At 34.4% G+C, this 25,218-nt stretch overlaps 1 long non-coding RNA gene across 1 annotated transcript in view; it reads left to right on the plus strand.

Annotated features, from left to right (window-relative positions):
• LOC102724214 (uncharacterized) overlaps nt 1-24,487 on the plus strand; it is a 51,115-nt gene extending 26,628 nt beyond the window's left edge. Inside the window, exon 3 of the long non-coding RNA XR_932105.3 lies at nt 23,656-24,487. This is a non-coding gene — a long non-coding RNA (uncharacterized LOC102724214). The remainder of the gene's footprint in view (nt 1-23,655) is intronic.
• The last annotated feature ends 731 nt before the right edge of the window (nt 24,488-25,218 follow it).

The following is a 25,218-nucleotide window of genomic DNA, read 5'->3' on the forward strand; positions in this document are numbered from 1 at the left end:
CAGAGAGCACATGAGAGGAAATCAAAACCTGTTCTTCTTAGATTTTATTTACCTTATGTCCTCCACTGCACTTGAAGTGGTATGATTGATGTGAGCAGAGTAAACCTAAGGGGAGGGTCTACATGAAAATATATAGCACAAAGCTCAATGGAAATGCTCAAGAAGATCTAGTTTTCTTAACCCTGGCATATGGGAACTATATGTCTTAGTGCTGACTTGCCAGTCTGTCTCAATGCCAGGAAACCTGAATGTACATCCCAGAATGTGTTTGGATGCATTGCAAACAAATGTCAGAGCAGGCATTATACCCCCTCACTAATGTACATTTGCAGGTCAAGAGGGTGATGCTGGAAAAGATTAATCCCTTGCTGAGTAGTATCCATCAGAATGCTTTTAAATGTTGGCATATAAGCAGCTAATAGATTATATACCATAAACACAGCTGTTGGAAGAAAAGCTGCATTCCACAAGTCATACAATTAACATCTCTAATCTCCAAAAGTACTAAAATAAGAAGGGGGGAGGAACAAGGAAGGATGAAGACAGAGATTCCTTTCCCGGAAAGGGCAATCTGTCTCCTCGATGGTACACTTCTTTGATTCCTGTGAGTACAAGGCATTCTTACTGATCTCAGAGTGAAGGAGCCCAGAAAAACCGCCTTTGTAGGAGTGATATGTGGTGAACAGTAGATGGATTGGGAAGAAAAGGAAAAAGAAAATGTTATTTCAAACATTTTTTTCCCTAAAATATGTACATTGTGCTTGTTAGCATATACACATGTATCAGCACCAGTAACAACAACAACAAAAGGTTTCCATACTGTATATTTTTATTGTCATATGTAATTATTATAAAGAATTGTGAAGAAATATCAATAATGTAATTCTGTACCTGAGGAAAAAACACATCTAATGATTTGGTATATGTCTTTCAATGCTTTTTTCTAAGTATTTGTACATATATACATGTTTTCCCACAAAATTTTAATCTTATATACTGACCTATATAATACTATACTTTATTGCTGCATAGTATTTGCTTGAATACGGCAAAATTTATGTTATAAATTTTTTTCATTGTTATATATTTCTGGAATTTCCTAATTTTCAAAATTAAAAACAAATATTATCCTTGCATGTAAATTCATGGGTACAACTCTAATTATTTAAGATACATTCATAGAATAGAATTCCTAGGGAAAAAGAATAAATATTTAAAACATATGTTTATTTAAAATTATATTAATAATGGAAATAGCCTCAGAATTATTATTAATGGACACTCATGTTGAAATATTAAATAAGATAAAAAGTATGGAAACTAAATTAGAAGTCATCTTAAATTCTATCACTATTGTGTTCAATATTACAATTTTGTTCATTATTTTTCTAGACTTCAGATGGTGAAACTTTCTGTGTGTGCAGAAGGTGTAGAAGATCATACTACACATTCATTCTTAACCTGCTTTTTCACTCCACAATTTGTCATAGAGATCTTTCCATATTGTTAAATAGAGATGTGCCACATGTTTAATGGATGAAGACAACTCTATTTTATTAATGAAGAATAATTTATTTAACCACTCTCAACTGATGAACTTTAGTTTATTTCTAGTTTTTCTCTATTTACATAATGCTGCATGGATACACACACTGTGTGTGTGCATGTGTGTGTGTGTGTGTGTGGGTGTATAATGTATAATGCTGAGTATTTGACCAATTATGTACTGAAATAAATTTTTTATGATTTACTGAGCTAAAGAATATATATGTGTATGTGTGTTTGTGTCTGTGTGTGCATTTACTGAGCTAAAGAATATATATATACTACATAATATATACCATTTATTTTTATAACATATATAATTTATATTTTGTTAGATGGAAAATATCTCCTGTGTATTAAAGTGCCACTTGCAAAAAATTTTGCCAATACTTTATATTATCAATATTTACAACTTATACTAGTTTAAAGGCTTTAAAAAAGTGGTAACTTTTAGTCTTTTACAGTTGTTGGAGTTTGTATAATGCTAAAAAATGCTTTCACACTAAGATTTTAAAATATATTCACCATTATTTTCTTCCAGTACTTTTTTAATATTAAACACTGATAAAGTTGTAATTAAACTTAGTATGAGAAAGGTAAATACCCGATTCATTTATCCAAATGACCAGCTAGTTATTTCAACACGATTTATTGATAGTCCATTTTCCCCCACCTGTATTAGTGCTTTCAGAACAAAGTACCACGAATTGGCTGACCTAAATAACAGAAATGTATTGCCTTTCAGTTCTGGATGCTAGAAGTCCAAGATCAAGGTACTAGCAGGTTGGTTTCTTCTGGGAGCTGTAAGGAAGAACTTATTCCATTCCTTTCCCCCAACTTCTGGTGGTTTGCTGTAGTTTTCTGTGTTCCTTGGCTGTAGAAGTGTCACTTCTGTTGTTTTAGTTTATTTTGTACTGCCATATAACATGGGATGTGAGACTGAGTAAATTATAAAAAACAGAAATATATTTCTCACTATTCTAGAGACTGGAAGTCCAAAATCAAGGTGCTGGCAGGTTCGGTGTCAAGTGAGGGCTGCTGTTTGCTTCCAAGATGGCATTTTAAACATTGCATTCTCTGGAGGGTGGGAACACTGTGCCTTACATAGCAGAAGACAGAAAGGCAAAAAGAGAACTCCCTTTATCAAGCCCTTTTATAAGTGTACTTAATCCCATTCATGGAGAAGAAGCCCTCATGACTCAATGACTTGTTGAAGCCACACCTCCCTATACTGTTGTACTGAAGATTAAATTTCAACATGATCTTGAGAGGAGACAAAAACATTCAAACCGTAGAACTGAGCTCTGGCTTTCACATGACAGTCTCCCTGTGTGCCTATCTATGTCCAAATTTCCCTTTCTTATAAGGACACCAGTCATATTGGATTAGGGGCCCACACTACTCTAGTACTCATCTTAACTTAGCTAATTACAACTGCAATGATTCTATTTCCAAATAAGGTCACATTCTAAGGGGCTGGAGGTTAAAACTTCAACAAATAAATTTTGGGAAGACACAATTCAATCCCTAACAGCAACCAATCTATAATACCACAAGTCTATATTCTTTCAATGACTATAATTTTGTAATATATCTTAATATTTGATAGAGCAATTCCTTCTGTTACACTTCTAAATACTTTTTCCATGTTTACTCTACATATGAATACCAGAATTATTTAGTCAAGTTCCTAAAACATTATGTCACCGAAATCTTTAAAAATATTGTTGAAATTTTTGGTTAATTTAGGATCAGTTAGATATTGATAATGCTGATTCTTATACCAACAAAAAGATATTTCTTTACATTTATTCAAGTTCTTGTTCATGTCCAATTGAGTTACAGCTTTCCTCATATAAATTCTGTACATGTCTTAAGTTTATTTCTATGTATTTTGTTGTTATGATTGTAAAAGAGGTTCTTCATTTTATTTTCTAGATGGTTATTGCTGGTATATTAAAAACATTCTTTTTTAATATTGACATTCTTATTGGTTTTATAATAAAATCTCTTATGGATTTTCTTTGATTTTCCAGATATATTATCGTACCATTTACATTAATATATATTTCATATTAATTTTTAGTTTTATTTTTGCCTTACAGTCTCTGGCAACCTAAATCTCTAGCTTGACCTTTTTGTGCTTTGTTTTTGTTAATGAATCAGCTTTTTATGTAGAAGACAATCCTGAGTAATCTTTCAAGAAACAGTTTGTGAATATTAAAATTTCTAAGTCCTTAGACATCAAAAAGCATGTTCATTCTTCATACACACTTGAACGTTAGTTTGTCTAGTATAGAATTCTAAGTTTACCATTTCTTGCATTACTGATGGAATATCTAATGTTAATCTATTTTGCTTTTTTGAGGTATAAAAACTCTTTGGGAACTTTTAGAATTTTCTCTTTTGTCTTTAATGTACTGAACTATGATCAAAATATGTGTGGATGTGTGGGTCAATTTAATTCATTGTTTTATATTCAGTGGACCATTTCAACCTAAAGATGAGTGAATTTTTCATCCACAGAATTTTGTACTGTTTATTCATTGAGCATATTTTTTAAAAATTTGAGATCCCTTTATCTTAGTTGTCTTCACCATATAATGTCTAAGTAAACATTAAATGTGAATATTGTATCTAGGGTCTTTGGCAAATTAAAGCTTTTTTTAATCTCCAAATTTTAAGTTCAGGGGTACATGTGCAGGATGTGCAGGTTTGTTACATAGGGAAATGCGTGCCATGGTGGTTTGCTGCACACATCATCCCATCACCCAGGTATTAAGCCTGACATCATTAGCTACTCTTCCTGATCCTCTCCCTCCTCCCACCCCCAACCCTCTGACAGGCCCCAGTATGTGTTGTTCCCCACAATGTGTTCATGTGTTCTCATTTACCTCTCACTTATAAGTGAGAAAATGTGGTATTTGGTTTTCTGTTCTTGCATTAGTTTGCTAAGGTTAATGGCCTCCAGCTCCATCCATGTCCCAGCCAAGGACATGATCTCATTCCTTTTTGTGTCTACATAGTATTCCATGGTATATATGTACCATATTTTCTTTATCCACCGCATAATTGATGGGCATGTAGGTTGATTCCATGTCTTTGCTATTGTGAATAGTGTTGCAATAAACATACACATGCATTGGTTGGGCACAGTGGCTCATGCCTGTAATCTCAAGACTTTGGGAGGCTGAGGTGGGCAGATCATGAGGTCAGGAGATTGAGACCACCCTGGCTAACACAGTGAAACCCCATCTCTACTAAAAATACAAAAAAATTAGCCAGGTGTGGTGGCAGGCGCCTGTAGTCCCAGCTACTTGGGAGGCTGAGGCAAAAGAATGGTGTGAACCCGGGAGGTGGAGCTTGCAAGATTGTACCACTGCACTTCAGCCTGGGTGACAGCAAGACTCTGTCAAAACAAAAACAAAACCAAAAACAAAACAAACAAAAAAACATACACATGCATGTGTCTTTATAACAGAACAATTTATATTCCTTTGAGTATATACCCAGTAATGAGAATGCTCGGTTGAATGGTATTTCTGCCTCTTGGTCTTTAAGGAATTGCCACACTGTCTTCCACAATGGTTGAACTAACATACGCTCTCACCAACAGTGTAAAAGCATTCCTTTTTCTCCACAAGCTCACCAACATTTGTTTTTTGATTTTTTAATAGTAGCTACCCTGACTGGTGTGAGATGGTATCTCAATGTGGTTTTGATTTGCATTTCTCTAATGATTAGTGATACTGAGCTCTTTTTCATATGTTTGCTGGCCACAGATATGTCTTCTTTTGAGAATTGTTCATGTCCTTTGCCCACTTTTTAATGGGGTTGTTTCTTGTAAAGTTTTTTTCTTATAAATTTAAGTTCCTTATAGATGCTGAATATTAGACCTTTGTCAAATGCATAGATTGCAAAAATTTTCTCCCGTTCTCTAGGTTGTCTGTTTACTCTGTTGATAGTTTCTTTTGCTATGCAGAAGTTATTTAGTTTAATTAGAACGTGTTTGTCAATTTTTGCTTTTGTTTGAAATTGCTTTTAGCATTTTTGTCATGAAATATTTGCCTGTGCCTATGTCCTGAATGGTATTGCCTAGGTTTTCTTCCAGGGTTTTTTATAGTTTTGGATTTTACATTTAAGTCTTTAATCCATCTCGAGTTGATTTTAGTATATGGTTTAAGGAAGAAGTCCAGTTTCCATTTTCTGCATATGGCTAGCCAGTTCTCTCAGCACCATTTATTAAATAAGAAATCCTATCCCCATAATCAGGTTTGTCGAATATCAAACAGTTATAGGTGTGTGGTCTTATTTCTGGTTCTCTATTCTGTTCCATCCATCTATGTGTCTGTGTTTGTGCCAGTACCATGCTGTTTTGGTTACTGTAGCCTTGTAGTATAGTTTGAAGTCAGGTAGCGTGATGCCTCCAGTTTTGTTCTTTCTGCTTAAGATTACCTTGGCTTTTTGGGCTCTTTTTTGTTTCCATATGAATTTTAAAATACTTTTTTTTCTAATTCTGTGAAGAATGTCAATGGTAGTTTAATGGAAATAGCATTAAATCTATAAACTGCTTGGCCAGTATGGCCATTTTCACAATATTGATTCTTCCTATCCACGAGCATGGAATGTTTTTGCATTTGTTTGTATCATTCCTGATTTCTTTGAACAGTGGTTTGTAGTTCTCTTTGAAGAGGTTCTTCACTTTCCTTGTTAGCTGTATTCCTGGGTATTTTATTCTTTTTGTGGCAATTATGAATGACAGTTCATTCATGATTTGGCTCTCAGCTTACCTGTTGTTTGTGTATAGGAATGCTGGCAATTTTTGCACAATTGATTTTTTATCCTGAGACTTTGCTGAAGTTGCTTGTCAACTTAAGAAACTTTTGGGCTGAGATGATGGAGATTTCTAGATATAGGACCATGTCATCTGCAAACAAAAATAGTTTGATTTCCTCTCTTTCTGTTTGGATACCCTTTATTTCTTTCTCTTGCCTGATTGCCCTGGCCAGAACACTATGGGGCAGAATACTATGTTAATGGTAGTATGTGGTGAAAGAGGGCAACATTTTCTTGTTCCAGTTTTCAAGAAGAATGCTTCCAGCTTTTTCCCTTTCATTTTGCCACCATTGGCTGTGGGTTAGTCATAGACGGCTCTTATTATTTTGAGATATGTTCCTTCAATACCTAGTTTATTGGGAGTTTTTTAACATGAAGGGATGTTGAATTTTATCAAAGATGTTTTCTGCATCTATTGAGATACTCATGTTGTTTTTGCATTGACCATATATTATATTCACATTATATATGTGTATATATCTATACATGTTGAATATATGTATTTTTGTTATATTGAAGTTTAACTCAAATACAGTTAAATACATAGATATTAAGTGTAAGTGTAATAAGCTTTGAAAAATGTGTGCTAGCAAGATGTACAAAATTTCTATCACCTAGAAGTTTCCTCATGTTTTCTTCCCCCCACAGACAACTTCTGTCTCCAAAATGTACAGCCATACTCTGATTTCTTTCCCCATCAATTAATTTTTCTTATTATAAACTTCTTATAGATAAAACCATAGATTATATATGTTTTGTAATTGATTTATTTTGCTCAGTATGTTATTTTGGGATTTATCCATATTGTTTCATGTGTCAGTGGTTTATTCCTTTTCATTGTCAAGTAGTATTCCATTCTATATAACTATTGTTTACATTTGGGAACTTTTATGAATGAAGTTGCTAAGAGTATTCTCATACAAAGATTTTTATGAAAATATGTCATTAATTCTTACAGGCAAATTGATAAAATTATAGAACTACTGGGTCATAGAGAAGTTTCATTTTTTCAATAAGAAACTAAAAACTATTTTCCAAAGTGGCTATACCATTTTACATTATCACCAGACACGTATGAGAGTTCCAGTAGCCCTACATCCTTATCCACATTTGGTGATGTCTTTTTAATTTTAACTCTATTGTGGGTGTGTGGTAGTAACTCACTGTGGTTTTGTTTTTAATTTTCTTGAAATGTAATAATTTTGAACACTTTTAAATGTACTTATAGAATATTTATAAATTTACCTTTGTGATATATCTCTTCAAGTCTATTGTCATTGCATACTGGTTGTGTCTTTGAGTTACTGAGTTGTTGTATTTCTTTATATAATCTAAACATTGTTCTCTGTCTCATTTTTTTATTGTAAAGATTTTCTTCCAGTCCATGGTGTGTTTATGCATTTTCAAAATGGTGTTTATAAATGAGCAGATTTTTATTTTGATGAAATTCAAATTTTTACGATTAGTGCTTCTTTGTCATATCTTATACATCTTTGCTACTCTAAGATGATGAAAATATATTTTGATATATTCTTTTATAAGCTTCATTATTTCAGCTTTTATATTTGTTTATGATCCATCTCAAACTAATTTTGAGTAGAATGTGTAGGACGTTCAGAGGTTTTTTTTTTTTTTTAAATAGGAGTATCTAGATAATCCAAATTCATTTGTTGAAAGTATTTTCTTTCCCATTGAAATTCTTTGGCATTTTTGTTGATAAGCAGTTGACCACATAAGTATGGGTATATTTCTGAATTCTCTACTCTGTTCTATTGACTTATCAGTCTTTATACCAATACATTATGTCAACATGGTTTTGTAATAAACCTTGAAATTAGACACTGTGAGTCCTTCAAAATTGTTCTTTATATCAAGAGTTATATATATGTATACACACACACACACACACATATGGAAGAGCAGGTGGATGAGGATATGGAGGAAGAGGGGGAGTTAAGGCAAAGGAAGGAGGAGAAAGGAGGAAGAAAGAGGAGGAAGGGGAAGGAAAAGGAAGATTATTACAGACAAAAATTCTTCATGAAAATGGATGTAAAATTCCTTAACAAAATTGAAACAAATCTAACCTAGCATATATAAATTATACATTCTAAATGAAAGGCACAGTCAGAATGTACTTATTTTGAATCCATGTTTTAGGTATAATTATATCACTAAATGTAGAAGTATTGTGAGCACTTATCATGCATAAGACACTGTCAATTCAAAGATAAAATTGCCAATCCATCCTTGAATAACTCACAGCACTTGTTTTTACTTTTGAAAAGACAATACATAGGTATATAAATTAAAGACACAGGATAGAGAGCCCAGAGATTGGCCCACACAAATATAGTCAACTGGTCTTTAACAAAGGATCAAAGGCAATACAATGGAGCATAAATAATCTTTTCAACAAATAGTGCTGTAACAACTTGGCATCCAGATACAAAAAAGAAATGAATCTAGACACAGACCTTATATTCTTCACAAATATTTACTCAAAATAGATCATATATTTAAATGTTAAATACAAAACTATAAAACTCCTAAAAGATAACAAGAGAAAATCTAGATGACCTTGGGTTTGGCAATAGCTTTTTAGATACAATATCAAAGACATGATCTATGAAAAAAATAATTGATCAGTTAGGCGTTATTAAAATTAAGAACTTCTGCTCTGCAAAATACCCTTTCAAGAGAATGAGAAGACAAGCCACAGACCAGGAGAAAATATTTGCAAAAGACATATATGGTAAAGGACTCTTATCCAAAATATACAAAGAACTTTAAAAACACAACAATAAAATGAACAACCCAATTAAAAAATGGAATGGGCAAAAGATCTGAACAGACACCTCACCAAAGAAGATACACAGATGGTAAATAAACATATGAAAAGATGCTTAACATAATTGTGAATTAAAACTACAATGTGATACGGCTATAACCCTATTAGAATTGCCAAAATTCAATATACTGACAATACCAAATGTTCTTGAAGATGTGTAGCAACAGGAACTCTTACTCATTGCTGGTGGGAATGCAAAATTGTATAGCTAAGTTGGAAGAAATTTTGACAGTTTCTTTCAAAACTAAACATATCCTTACCATACGACCCACCAATTGTGCACAAAAGAGTTGAAAACATGTCCACACAGAAACCTGCATATGAGTGTTGATAGCAGTTTTATTCATAATTGTCAAAACTTGGAAGCAACCAAGATGTCCTTCAGTAGGTGAATGGGTAAATAAACTGTGGTACATCCAGACAATGGAATATTATCCAGCACTAAAAAGAAATGAGCCATAAAGCTGTGGAAAAATATGGAAGCAACTTAAATAAATAAATGCATATTACTACATGAAAGAATCCAATCTGAAAACTTGCTGTGTGATTCCAACTATATGACATTCCAGAAAAGATAAAACTATAAAGACAATAAAACAATCAGTGTTGCCAGGAGTTAGGGGTGATAGAGGGATGAACAGACAAAGAGTGGAGGATTTTTAGGGCAACAAAACTATTCTGTACTTTACTAAATTGGTGATACATGTCATTATATATTTTTTCAAAACCATAGAATGTGCAAAACCAAGTGAACCTTAGTGTATACTATGGACGTGGGTGATGCTATATCAATGTAGGTTCATCAATTATAACAAATGTACCACTCTGATATGGGATGTTGATCATGAGGGAGGTTGTGTTTGTATGGGGCAGGTGGTATTTGTGAATTATCTGTACCTTCTACTCAATTTTACTGTGATTCTAAAATTGGTCTAAAAAATAAAATCTGTGAAAAAATAAAGACAATGCATATTCACTGGCCATTGAGATAAAAGTACAACCAAGGTATTCCCAATTTAACATGGCATGGAATTATTAATGATAATATGAGCTTATAATTAACACAAGAATGTGTTAATTTTGTTTGAAAAACAAATTTCTTGATATATATGAAGCAATTAAATGATGACACAAATGATGATACACTTGTAATGAAGTATGTACATTATTTGCTAAATGCTTTATGAGTTCATAAAAATATGAAATAAATGGGCAGAAAGACTTGTAGCAGCTAAACACTTAGAGAGTATGTGGATAGATAAAGAAAAAGGAGTATCTCAAGAATTTAGGAGAGAATTATAGTCTCATCTCCAGGCTTTTGACTTATGAATTTAAACAGGTATTGACACCTGTTTTCTATCAAGAGAAAGAAATGGCCCTTTATTCTCTTGCTTGGCTGTGGTACATTCTGAACCATTTTGCAGACTTCCCTTAATAGAATGTTTATTTATTATTTCCATTTTTAAAAAGAATTTTCTATGAATTAACTTTAAAATATCTCTAGAAAAATCTCCTAAGATCTGTGCTGAGATTTGCATAAGAAGTCAATCAGTTCTAATTCAGAAGAACTAATGTTTTGAGTAAATACATGACATACTTAATTATGTTATAATGTTTTATTTCATTATATAGATTCCTACAATTAAGAAGTAAAAAGGAAAATTCAATATATTCTCCCAATATGCAGTTTGGGGATTCTCAGCTGCCAAAACAAAGACTGACTCAATCCCTTGGATCAACCACCATGAAACTTGTTTAATAGGAATTGCTACAGTGTCATGATTTGTGGATTTTGAACACCTTCTCACTCAACCTATTTCTTCCTCTGGCTGGAGTAGCTCACGGCAAAATGCCTCATGTTTTATATTCTTTAGGCTTTTTTTTTTTTTTTTTTGGCTCTTGTGTCCTTTATTCCCTCTTTCTCACTTACTTAGGAAACTGGAAAGGGACAAGAAAAAAATGTATCATCATGCTTTCTTTATTCTTTAAATCCTATTTCCTTGGCCAGTCTGAGGTGTCAAAAATCAGTTTACACAGAATTGATGTACATCTTCAATGGCGCACTCACATCCTTTCCTTCTTTAACCATGTTAATATTAGGATTCTTAGGTGAACTGTTCTGGATTCTGATACAGTTAGAAAAGATTTGTGTCCTGCTCAAGGTCTAGAGACTTATATGTCGGCTTTCAGATTCCTCCTTCATCTTGCTTTAGATTTTATAGCATTTTGCTGATATGTTTCAATTTTGTGGTTTGGGACTGTGGTAGTTCTCTTGTTATTTCTGTTGTTTTCAGGGGATTTCAAAAAGATGTATAGTGTAAAAATGCTATTACTTCATGTTTAATGATATCTCCAAACTTTCAGTTTATTTTAATTTTATTTTTTTTCAGGCAGAGTCTTGCTTTGTCGCCCAGGCTGGCGTGCAGTAGAGTGATCTTGTCTCACTGCAACCTCCGTCTCCTGGGTTCAAGCAATTCACCTGCCTCAGCCTCCTGAGTAGCTGGGATTGCATGTGCGTGCCACCACACCTGGCTAATTTTTTGTATTTTTAGTAGTGTCAGGGTTTTGCCATGTTGGCCAGGCTGATCTTGAATTCCTGACCTCGGGTGATCCACCCGCCTCAGCCTCCCAAAGTGCTGGGATTACAGGCATGAGCCATCATGCCTGGCCATTTCAGTTTATTTTTTGAGCAGTAAAGTCAGCTATGCCAACAGAGATTGCAGCAAATGTTTGAACATTACTTTATTCAGATATTATGCATATTCTATTCTTGTGTGAATGTTGCATGTGTCCTCATATGCCATTGTTATTTTGTCAATCCTTCTGTTTTCTTATCCTTGAACATAAAGCTTCTCCCACTAGTGTTTTCCTTATTTTATTCTAATATAAATCAGTACATGCCTCTAAATTTGGAACGTCTCTTGAAAGATCAATAAAGACCAATACTTAGCAATGTAAAAGCAACATTATAGGATTCTGGGAATATAGTGGAGAAGGAAGAACCAGGAATCTATCTTTCCACTGAGACAACACTTCACTGACAGAATATATCTAATATAAGTAGTTTGGAACTCTTGGGTCTATTAAAGGCTTGAAATTTCCATGGTAATGCTTGGACAGTAAATTATAGTTAATTTCAATCAACGTCAGCTATAACAGCTACCCATCCCCTACCTCTATCCCTATGGCAGCCAGCTGTGCACACATTCCTAAAGCAACCTGCACACAGCTTGTAAGAGCCATGGTCCAGGAGGTGATGGTGAAACAAAAAGGACTCTGTCCTGCAAATATCAGGGATATGTGCTGTGATCACTGATTGTTGCTTCTGATCACAGAGCTGTAGACAAAGAGAAAGGCAATCATTGTTGCTGCATCTCCTACCATTGTTGCAAGCCCCTTCTCTTGCTAAAGTAGATTCCATAAGATTTAAGGGTTCAGTGTCCTTTCCTTTCTCCTCTTTACTTTTCTTTTTCTCCTTTCGAGAGACATTAAAGACTAGGATAGTCGAAAGTAGTTGCATCTACTGGAAAACAATAAAAATGACCATGCATACCTAGGGAAAGATGTAGGCTCAGAAAAGTACTGAGAAGAACTTATGCTTATACTTCAGGCTTATCCTTGGCACAGAGACAGCCTATAGTTATCAAAACAAAGACAAAAACAAGGAAAAACAAAAACAAAAGCAAAACCTCACAGCAAACCCTGAGAAACAGGGAGAATTTCCAGAATTATCACATATTTAAATTAAATGTTCAGTTTTCAACAACAACAAAAAATCACAAGGCATACAAAGCAACTGGAAATTATGGTCCATTAAAAAGAAAGAAAGAAATCAAATGAAACATTCCCTGAAAAAAGACCCGATGGCAAATCTACTAGATAAAGGCTTTAAAGCTTTTATCTTAAAGGTGCTCAAAGAACTAAAGAAAGATGTGAGTAAAGTCAAGAAAACAATGAATAGGTAAAAGTAAAATATTGATAAAGAGGTAGAAAAGCTAAAATGAAACCAATAAGAAATTCTGGTGCTCAAAAATATAATAACTGAACTAGAAAATTTACTAGAGGAATTCAAAGGTAGATTTAAACAGGCAGAAGAAAGAATCAGTTAACTTGAACATAAGACAAGGAAAACTATCACACCTGAGGAATAGAAAGAGAAAAATAAAGAAAAGTGAACAAAGCCTAAAGGAATTCTGGGACACCATCAAGCTGACCAAAATATACACTGTGGAAGTCCAAGATGGAGAAGAGAAAGAGAAAAGGTCAGAGAGAATATTTGAAGAAATAATAGCTGAAAATTCCTCAAATTTAATGAAAGACATGAATATAAACATACAGGAATCTCAATGAATTCCAAGTTAGATGAAATCATAGAGACCCACATCAAGACATAATATAATCAAACTTATAAAAGCCAAAGTGAAAGAGAATGTTAAAAGAAGCAAGAGAGAAGTGACTCATTACATACAAGAATCCTCAATAAGATTATCAGCAGATTTCTCATCAGAAACATTGAAGGTCAGAAAACAGTGAACTAATATACTTAAAGTACAAAAAGAAAAAAGCCCTGTCAACCAAGAACACTACATCTGGCAAACCTGTCTTTCAAATGTGAGGGAGAAATTACGACATTCCCAGATAAACAAAAGCTGAAAGAGTTCATCACCACAGGACCTGCCCTGAAAGAAATGCTCAAGGGAATCCTGCAGGGTGAAATGAAAAGACACTATGTAGTAACTCAAAGCTGTATGAAAAATTAAAGTTTTCAATAAGGATAAATACATGGGCAAGTATAAAAGCTATTACTATTATAACAATGGTTTGTAATTCTTTTTGTTTTCCTACATGACTTAGGAGACTAATACATTAAAAAAAAATTCTAAGAGCTAGTATTATTGTAACTTTGGTTTGTAATTCCACATTTTTTTCTACATAATTTAAGAGACTAATGTATTACAAATTATTAGTTCATGTTTTGGGGCACATAATATATAAAAATGTAATTTTGTGACAATGACCAAAAGGAGTGGGGATAGAACTGTTAAAGAAGCAGAGATTTTGTATTTTATTGATGTTTATCTTGCATAAATTCAAATTAGAGTGTTATAACTTTAGGATGTTAAATGTGATCCCCATGGTAACCACACAGAAAATAACTATAGAATATACAAAAAAAGGAAATGAGAAAGGAATTTAAGTGTTTACTACAAAAAAATCAACTAAACATAAAAGAAGACAATAAATGCAGAAAATGAGAGACAAAATGCTATAAAACAAATTGCAAAATGACAGAAGTAACTTCCTCCTTATCAGTAATTTGTTTAAATGTAAATAAATCAATTTCTTTAATGAAAGAATTGACGTTGACAGAAGGGACTAAGAGAACATGCTGTAACTATATGTTGTCTATAGGAGACTCTACAACCAAGGATGCAAATACACTAAAATGGAAAGAATGGAAAGAGATATTCTGTGCAAATCGTAACCAAAAAAAGAGCAGCATGCTAATATCAGACAAAGTTCATTTTTGTTTTTTGAGACAAGGTCTCTCTCTGTGGCCCAGGCTGGAGGACAGTGGCATGATCATAGCTCCTAGGCTTAAATGATCCTGTTTCCTCGGCTTCGTCAGTAACTAGGATTATAGGCTCATACTATCTTGCCTAGCTATTTTTTAAATTTTTTGTAGAGATGGGTTCTCATTATATTGCCCGGGTTGGTCTCAAACAATTCTCTCATCTCAGCCTCCCAAGATGCTGAGATTACAGGCATAAGTCACAGTGCTTGGCCTCAAAATAGATTTTAAATAAAAAAGGATTAAAACAGATAAAGAAAGACACCGTATATTAATAAAAGTTTCAATAGAGCAAGGAGATAAAGCAATTATTTACTTTTACACACCTGATAACAGAACATTAAAATATATGAAGAAAAATAGAATTGAAGAAAGAAGTAGACAGCTCTACAAATAGTTGAAGAAATCAGTACCCTACAATCAATAACAGATAGAAAAACCTGACAAAAGATAAGAAAATAGAGGACTTACACAACACGATAAGCTAATTAAATCTAATGAACATATACACAATGCTCTACCAGACAACAACAGCATACATCTTCTCAAATTTGCATGGGACATTTTCCAATATAGACCATATGTTAGACCAAATATTAAGTCTGAATAGATTGAAAAAGATATATAACATCCAAAATATCTTCTCTGATGACATGGGATGAAGTTGTATATTAATAACAGAAATAAAAATGGACAATTCAAAAATTTGTGGAAATTAATCAACACACCCTTAAACAACCAATGGATCAAAGAAGATATCACAAGGGAAATGAGAAAATGCTTAGAGATAAATGAAAACAAAAGCACGACACACCAAAACTTATCAGACATAGTGAAAGCAATGGTTAAGAGAAAATATATAGCTATAAATACTTACATTAAAAAACAAAAATATCTCAAGTCAACAACTTAACTTTATAATTTTTAGAACTAGTAAAAGAAGAACACACTAAACCCATAGCTAGCAGTTGGAAAGAAATGATAATAATTACAGCATAGACAAAAAAAATAGAGGATAGGAAATCAGTAGAGAAAGTTAATCAAACCAAAAGTTCAGTCTTTGAAAAGATCAACATTAACAACATGTAGTTAGATTGACTAATAAAAATCGAAGACTCAAATTATTAAAATCAGAGACGAAAGTGGAGATAATATTACCAATTCTACAGAAATAAGATTATAAGAGAGTACTGTGAACAATTATACACCAAGAAATTCAATAACCTAAATGAAATAGTCAAATTCCTAGAAATACAAATAAGTTAGCAAGAGATGGAAAATCTCAATAAACCTAAAACTAGTGAGGAGATTGAATCTGTAATAAAAAATCTCCTAACCAAGAAAAGCCCTGAACCCAATGGCTTCACTTGTGAATTCTACCAAACATTTAAATAAGAACTAACACCAATATTTCTTAAACTTTTTCAAAAAATTGAAGAGCAGGGAATACTTCCTAACTTATTCTATAAGGTGAGCATGATCCTGATACCAAAGCCAGATAAGACTACAAGAAAAACAAACTATAGACCAAAATTTTTAATTAACATTGACGCAAAATTCTCAACAAAATACTAGCAAGCCAAATTCAGCAGCATATTGAAATAATTATACAATATAATTAAGCAGAATTATTCCTGGAATGCAAGGATGGTTCATCATATAAAAATAGATCAATGTAATATACTATATTAACATACTAAAGGGTGAAAACATGATCATCTCAGTTGATGAAGAAAAGGCATTTGATAAAGTTCAGCACCATTTAATGATAAAAACACTTAAAAAACTAAGAATAGAAGGAAGCTACCTCAACATAATAAAAGCCATATGTGAAAAACTCACAGCAATATCATATTCAGCGGTGAAAAAACTTTTCCTGTAAGATAAGGAGCAAGATAAGGGTACCCAATTTTGCCACTTCTACTCAACATAGTACTGGAAGTTCAGCTAAAGGAATTGGGCTGAATAATAATAATAATAGTATGCATACAAATTGGAAAGGAAGAAGTAAAATTGTCTCTGTAGATGATATGGTCTTACATATAGAAAATCCTAAAAATTCCACAAAAACTCTGTTGAAATTAATAAATAAATTCAGCAAAGTAGCAAGATACAAAGTCAATACATAAAAATCAATTGCATTTCTGTACACTTAACAATAAACACTCTGAAAAGGAAATTACAAAAACAATTTCATTTACAATAGCATCAAAAATAATAAAATACTTAGGAATTAGACAAGGAAGTGAAAGACTTGTACACTGAAAAGTATGAAACATTGCTAAAATAAAGAATAAAATAAATGAAAATGCATCTCAAGTTAGTGGATTGGAAGACTTAACATTGTTGAGATAAAAATACTACTCAAATCAATCCATCAATTCAATGCAATCCCCATCAAAATTCCAATGACTTTTTTTGCAGAAATAAAATAATCTTAAAAATCATACAAATTCTTAAGAAACCAAAATTGCCAAAACAATCTTGAAACAGGACATAATTGGAGAACTCACAATTTCTGATTTCAAGCTTACTACCCAGCCACAGTAATCAAAACAGTGTGGCAGTGGTATAGGAACAATTATAGCCCCATGAAATAGAATATAAAGACCAGAAATAAACTTTTGTATGGTCAAATGATTTTTGACAAGAGTGTCAAGTTCATTCAATGGGTAGCAGACAGGCAGTCTTTTTAACAATGATGCTGGAAAACTGGATATCCACATGCAAAAGAATGAAGTTGGACCATTACCTAATACCATATAAAAATTCACTTCAATTGGTTCAAAGACCTAGATGTAAGACCTAAAACTATAAAACTTTTACAAGAAAACAGGTCAAAAACTTCAGGGTGTTAAATTTGGTAGTAATTTATTTAATATGACAGCAAAGCATAGGCAACAAGAGAAAAAACAGACAAATTGGGCTTCACGAAAATTGTAAAAATTCCTGCATTGAGATGATATCGATAAAGTATAAAGGCAAACATAAAATGAGAAACAAAATTTGCAAATCATATATCTGATAAGGAATTAAAATCTATAGTATAGAGAGAACTCCTAAAACATAACAACAAAATAAACAACCAGATTTAAAAATGGACAGAGAACTTGAATAAACATTTCTTCAAAGAAGATATACAAATGGCCAATACACACATAAAAATGTTCAAAATCTGTAATCATAAAAGAAATGCAAATAAAAACTATAATGAGATACTGCTTCACAACCATTACAACGGCTACCTTCAAAAACTATAGAAAATAACAAGCGTTGATTAGCATGTGGAAAAACTGAAACCCCTGTGCATTGCTGCAGGGAATATAAAATGGTACAGCTGCTCTTGAAAACAGTATGAAAGTTTCTCAAAATTATTTAAATGGAATTACCATATGATCTCGCAACATTACTTCTGGGTATATACCCAAAAGAATTGAAAGCAGGATCTTAAAGAGATATTTGTAAAACCATGTTCATCGCAGCATTATTCACAATAGCTAAAATGTGGAAGCAACCTAAGTATCCACTGATGGATGAAAAGATAAGCAAAATTTACATTTTGCATATACAGACAATGGAGTGTTGACTTTGAAAGGAAGAAAATTCTCACATATGCTACAATATGAATGAACTTTGTGTATGCTAAGTGACATAAACAAGTCACAAAAATACAAATACTATATGATTCCACTTATATGAGGTACTTAGAGCAGTCAAAATGGATACAAAAAAATAGAATGGTGATTGCCAGGGTCTGGAGAGAAGAAAGGGGCAGGCAGTTATTGTTGGACAGGTACACAGTTTCAGTTTCACAAGATGAAAAGGGTTATGTGGATGGAAAGTGGTGGTGGTTGCACAACATTATAAATGTATTTAATACTTCTGAACTGTACATTTAAAATGGTTAGGATGGTAAATTTTGTGTTATGTTTCTTTTACCATAATAACTTTTAAAAAAGAGCCAGGTGCTGTGGCTCACACCTGTAATCCCAGCTACTCAGGTGTCTGAGGTAGGAGGATTGCTTGAGGCCAGGAATTTAAGACCAGCCTGGGCAGCATAGCAAGATGCCATCTCTTAAAAAAAAAAAAAAAAAAGAGAGAGACCTTTACTAGCAACTAACTTGCTAGAAAACTCCTCCAAAGAAATAAAGGTCACAGGGGAGATGGGTGAAGATGGGTCTTTTCAGTTCAATCAAAATAGCTTGAATAGAATATTTTCTTCTATAAATCTATACAAATATAAACAAACCCCAAATTTGACTAAAATAAATCTTTAAAATTATGATTGATTTGGCCATTCAAAACAATACCTCATGACAACTCATGTTTACAAACAACCTGAGTGTTTTCAAATAACCTTTGTAGACTCTTTTTTCATTAATTAGGTACTAGACTCTCTTGGCAGTGTCTTACTCAAAAAAGAATAAAGAGAAAAATATAAATAAATGGACAAACTGCAAAAGCATAACAAAAAGGCATATAGCAAGTCCAGATGAATAAAATCACCCACATATATTAGAGATAATTGAGATGAAAGACATGGAAATGTGTATAAAAGTCTAATACATTCGTGATTTTTCCTCCATTTCTGATCATGAAAACATTAATAAAATAAGGGAAAGTATTTGAGAAGGGAACAGGGATGAAGAACTCCTTTAAAAATGTGTCAATTTTATTTCTGCTTCAATCTCCAAAGGCCTTTTAAGATCTCCTAATATTCATTGTCAGAATCAATAGCATAGATGAATTTCTACAGTTTCCAATAAATGGAAAACATATGTGAATGAAAACAGAACATTCATATTTGGTCTTTTCCCAGAGAGCACTGAATTGGTTTCTTGTTTGTTTTTAACAGTCATCTGCAACCAATGCAATTGAAAACTAAGCAAAAACCCAAAAGGCTTTGCTTCATATGTAGAAGAGTGCTCCATGTCTAAAGCTTCATACTGAAGCAAGAGCTAAGTTTGTTGATGAAGTGTACACTCAGTTTATATTTCTCAAAGCTGGGAAATCTGGCCAGGTCCTAACTTCAAGTCAGCTATTTTTGTGATCTAAGCTCAGGATCTACTGGACTTCACACAGGCCACCTCTGCTAAGCCCTAACCTTCAATGTGGGCTTGCTTCTATTATGGATTCTCAGTATTCAGATGAAAGATGCAGGTGATTGAAAGCATAACAGATTTAGTGGCAGAAAGAAAATGTATTTGAGAAGATAACAATAAGAAAGAAAGAAAGTTCATTTGCCCCGACTGTAAACTAAGAAGGCTGTTGTTATGACTGGTTTAAGGCACTATTCTGAATTATCTACTGTTTTGATTTACATAGTAAATAGTTCAGTACTATGGAGAGCATGGCTTAAGCCCTATGCCCAGCTTTCTGTATCTTTCTGCGCAGGAATACAGGTGCCTTAAAACTCTTCAATATCATTCACCTGTATACCACACCTGAGTTGTCCTCTCAGCCATATTTCACACTCTAAACCTCTCTCAGCAACCTCATTCTTACAGTGTCCTTAACCATTCAACAACCAATAGAAACTTATTTTGCTAAGACTGTAACACACTGAACTAAATGCTAAAAATACTCCTATGAGGAAGACATAAGTGATGTTAAGGAATTGGCCATCTGTTAGAGGAAAAAATATATACACAGAGTAATGATGGCCAAGATAGTCTGACCATCACCTGGAATGGTTGTTTAAAATGCAGTTTTCTAAGCAGTACTCTGAGAAATTCTAATTCATTACTTTGGGTGAGGGCGAGGCGGTTGGAGGAGGTGAAAACTGAAAATCTCTAGATTAGTGGGGTTCTCGACCCCAGCTATATAGGAAATCAACAACATTTTTAAATATATCAATTCTTGGGCTCTACCCCAGACCAATAAAATCAGGATGTTTGGGAATATAGGCATTGAAATTTATATGCATCTTGTCTTGAATCCTGGCTCCACCATTTAACAATAGTGTCATTAAACATGTTCTTCAACTTCTGTAAGTTATAGTTTTGCTTTGTTTTAATTCTGAAATCGACATAGTAGTATCTATTTCATTGTGTGGTTGTGAGGTTAAATGAGATAAGGTATGTAAGGTATAATACCTGATGATGCATAGTAAATAGGTGATAATGGTAGCTAACATTTATTGAATATTTACTATTATGTGATACTTTGCTAAGCACTTTACATGAACTAAAACAACCATTATATTTTTATCTTCATTTTTTCAGTGAAGGCCTGAGACATAAAATAGTAAAGTGATTGCCCACAGTACACAATTAGCAAGCAGCAGAGCTAGGGTCTAGTACTTGTGACTATTGTACTACATATTTTAGTATATAGTAGCTATTCTTATTGAAAAATAACTGATACTCTTAGTTCAGGCTGCTGTAATAAAATACAACAGATTGGGTGGCTTAACCCACAAATGTGTTTCTTGCTGTTCTGGAAGCTGGGAATCTGAGATCAGGATGCCAACATGGTCAGCGTCTTCATGAGGGCCCTACCTATGGTTTGAATGTAGCCCCCAAAATTCATGTCAGAAACTTGATACCGAATGCAGTCGTATTGGGAAGCAGGACCTTTTGGGACATGTTTAGATCATAAGGGTTCTCTCTTCATGAATGGATTAATGCTGCTATTAAAAGTGCTTAGTGGAGTGGTTTCACCTTGTATTCTGCCATTTGAAGACACAACACTCATTCCTTTTCGCTCTTTCTCTTCTGAAGGCCCTCAACAGATGCCAGCACCTTGATCTTGGACTTCCCAGCCTCCAGAAATATGAGAAATAAATTTTTGTTTTTATAAATTACTCAGTCTCCGGTATTCCGTAATAGCAGAATAAATGATAAATAAGTGCCCTTATATAAAACAGATGAGACACAAGATTAATCTTGTATTCTTGTGAACTAAGACAGCCCTTTCCCTTTTATGTCCTCACATGGCCTTTCCTTGGTATACACAGGCAGATTAGTCTTGTGTCTCTTCCATTTTATATAAGGGCATTAATCCCATTATGGGGTTCTGTTCTTATGACTTCATCTAACCCTAATTACCTCCCAAAGGTCCCACCTCCAAATACAGTCACAATGGGGATAAGGGTTTCAACATATGAATTTTGGGGTAACATAAACAGTCATTGCATAGTATTAATTAAGAATCAGACAATCCACAGTAAATGTCAAATGAATGGAGTTGAGAATAATTATGAGGTGAATTCTGAGTTTTATGGGTTTAGATGGGTTTTATGAAAATGTCTTTTTCTTCCAGGCTTTGCCATATGAAACCTCTTAAAGTCAAATTTTCTGATAAAGAACGGCTATTTTTTCCAATGATTTTCAGATAAAGCAGCTGAGGCCTAAAAAGAAAAGGAAATTAGGTTACATAACTAGGAAGTAGTAGAAGGTGGGATTTGAGCTCATGTTTGTCCAATTGAACATGTTCCTTTAGATGAAAAGCAGTTTCTAAGAGAAGGTGATGCAAATCTGGCCAATGTGTTTGTTATTTTCCAGAAGGTGGTTTGGGCAGCTATCAAAGCATTTTGAAGAGGAAAGGAGCACGAATGAAATTCATATGATCATTTCACCACATTTACTCTGTTATGGCATTTACTCTGTTATTAGTGTCTGACACGAATCATCATCACTTGATGGTGTATGTAGATTTCTTTTCTTTCTTTCTTTCTTTTTTTTTTTTTTTGAGATGGAGTCTTGCTCTGTCTCTGTCGCCCAGACTGGTGTGCAGTGGCGCGATCTCGGCTCACTGCAACCTCTGCCTCCTGGGTTCAAGCAACTCTCCTGTCTCAGCCTCCCAAGTAGCTGAGATTATAGGTGCACACCACCACGTCCAGCTAATTTTTGTATTTTTAGTAGAGATAAGGTTTCACTGTATTGGTCAGGCTGGTCTTGAACTCCTGACTTCAGGTGATCCACCCACCTCAGCCTCCCAAAGTGCTGGGATTACAGGTGAGAGCCACCACGCCTGGCCAGCTGGATTTCTTTTCTACTTACAAGCAAAACTCAGAATTGAACTTCAGCTAGACTGGGCACGGTGGCTCACGCCTGTAATCCCAGTACTTTGGGAGGCTGAGGCAGGCAGATCACCTGAGGTCAGGAGTTTGAGACTAGCCTGACCAACATGGAGAAACCCCATCTGTACTAAATACACAAAATTAGCCAGGCGTGGTGGCACATACCTGTAATTCCAGCTACTAGGGAGGCTGAGGCAGGAGAATCACTTGAACCCAGGAGGCAGAGGTTCCAGTGAGCCGAGATTGCACCACTGCACTCCAGACTGGGCAACAAGAGTGAAACTCCATCTCAAAAAAAAAAAAAAAAAGAAAAACAACAAAACAAAACAAAAAAACAAAACTTCAGCTATACATTTCTTCCTTCAAGGTTACATTTCTTTATCTCACATGCACTCTGGACTCCTCGGTTTGCATGATCACAGATAAGATCATTTACAGAAGAGCCTCATGTCAAGATTCATTTCAATCAGGGATTAAATCTAGTCATTCATTCACTCATTCCACAAATTTAAATCAAAACACTAAACTAGCTTCAGTAATTGATAGAAAGATGTGGCTCCTATCCTCAGAAGCTCATGCTCTAGAGAAACAAGTACAATGTGCAGTCCTTGATGGACCCTCCCTGACATTCTTAACAAACCTATGAAGTCCAGTCAACAGATTGCACAACTTTGTGGAATGTTGCTTATTTTTGCTTAATAGCAAAATCAAGGCTGAGTTGCCAGATGGAGCTTGGCAACATTTAATGACCAAGTAGCCCAAAGGTTCTCTCTAGAACAAAATATGGACTTTGCATTTCCTTTAACAATTTTTTCTTAACATCTTCTCTAGCCTTACAAACAGAAACACATGCCTCTGCCAGTCCCCACATGGGATCCCAGATGAGAAACCTCTCAAGGAGAATAACAAAATGCAGTTGGAATCAAAGTGTATGAAGCCTCCCAGACACACCCAGCAGGAGTCACCAGGAAGCAGCTGGGAAGAGGCTGACAGCCCACCAGCAATGAGACCACAGGAGCTGCTGCTCCCGGGAGGGAGTCTGCTGTCATCCTCCACTTGCTAGAGTTCTCCCTCCTCTCTGCTTGTTACACACTGCTTCCCTGCTCTAGAGCTTGCTCCAGAGATGACTTCAACAGAACAGAGTGGCTCTTCCTTACTTGAAACACAGATCCATTGTACCTGTGGCTTTGGCTCTGGATTGTCTTTCTACTTAGAGGAGAACAAGGGTGTGACTGAGCCACATGATGGAAAGTAAAGGTACAACCAAAAATTGTGGCGTTTCCTCTTGTTTATGACATTAAATTTCCCTCAGCCTCTACCCTCATGCTGCCTGCTTCTCTAAGGCTGCTCCCAGGGAACAAGTTAATAATCTCAAATACAGTAATTTTTGCCCCTTTCAGAGGTAAGAGTTTAACAGGGGACAAAGGACGAATTTTCCATCATGGCATTTCAAACATCAGTAAAATGTTGATTATTTTTCAGCACTCTTGATATTATATCTGAGTAGCTCTTGTAGAAATTAATGCAAGCTGTGTTTTCACTGCAATGTGCCCTTACTGTATTCACATGCAGCGAGAGGTTATGCTGATGGAACTTGGCCATGATTTGTGATATTGTTTATTTACATGTATTAATATAAAATAAAATGCAACGTGCTAAGTAACATTTAAGCCCTCATTAACCTGTTCCTGAACTATTTTTCCAACTCCATTGATCCCTACTCCTTGTGATTCAGCCAGTACCTCAACTGTTTGTTTCTATGCTTGTTCAAGGTTTGTAATCCTTAGTCCTTTGCTCAAAATGAGAGTCAGCCTGGCATAAGGGAAAAAGCACTCAACTCAGACGAGCCTGAGTGGGAAACATGACTTAAATAAGTTAGCAACTTATGCAATATCATTTATATAACTTTGAGCCTTTAGCATAATCATCTGTAAAATGAAGCTTCCCACTGTGGGATGTTCTTGAAAAGGGTGTTATAGGATATGGAAGCACTATGCACAGATGAGGCTCTCAGTAAAGTTGTTCCATCATCTCTGAGTACGCAAATTTTATTCATCCTTTAAGTTGCAGCCCAGATAGCACCTTTTGCATAAAGTGTCTACTGATTGCCTCCACTGGGATGCAATCTTTCCCTCTTCTCAACTCCTATCTCTCTTTGCCTTTATCAATCATATAGTAAGTGCGTCTTTTTATTTTGTATCACAGGGTCTCAAACTGAGACTCTGAATGTGGCTTGTGCAGAGTGCTTCCTGGGATTCTGTGTGTATGGGTTACTCTGCATGGAGCCTCCTGTTGCCAACCAAAAAAGGACTAAGCTTGGCTCCTTTCCAATTCTCTGTACATAATTTTGTATTCATATTATGTTCTTTTTCTTGAAGAAGGCCCTGATTTTAT

Source organism: Homo sapiens, chromosome 15 (genome assembly GCF_000001405.40).
Source record: "Homo sapiens chromosome 15, GRCh38.p14 Primary Assembly".
NCBI lineage: Eukaryota > Metazoa > Chordata > Mammalia > Primates > Hominidae > Homo > Homo sapiens.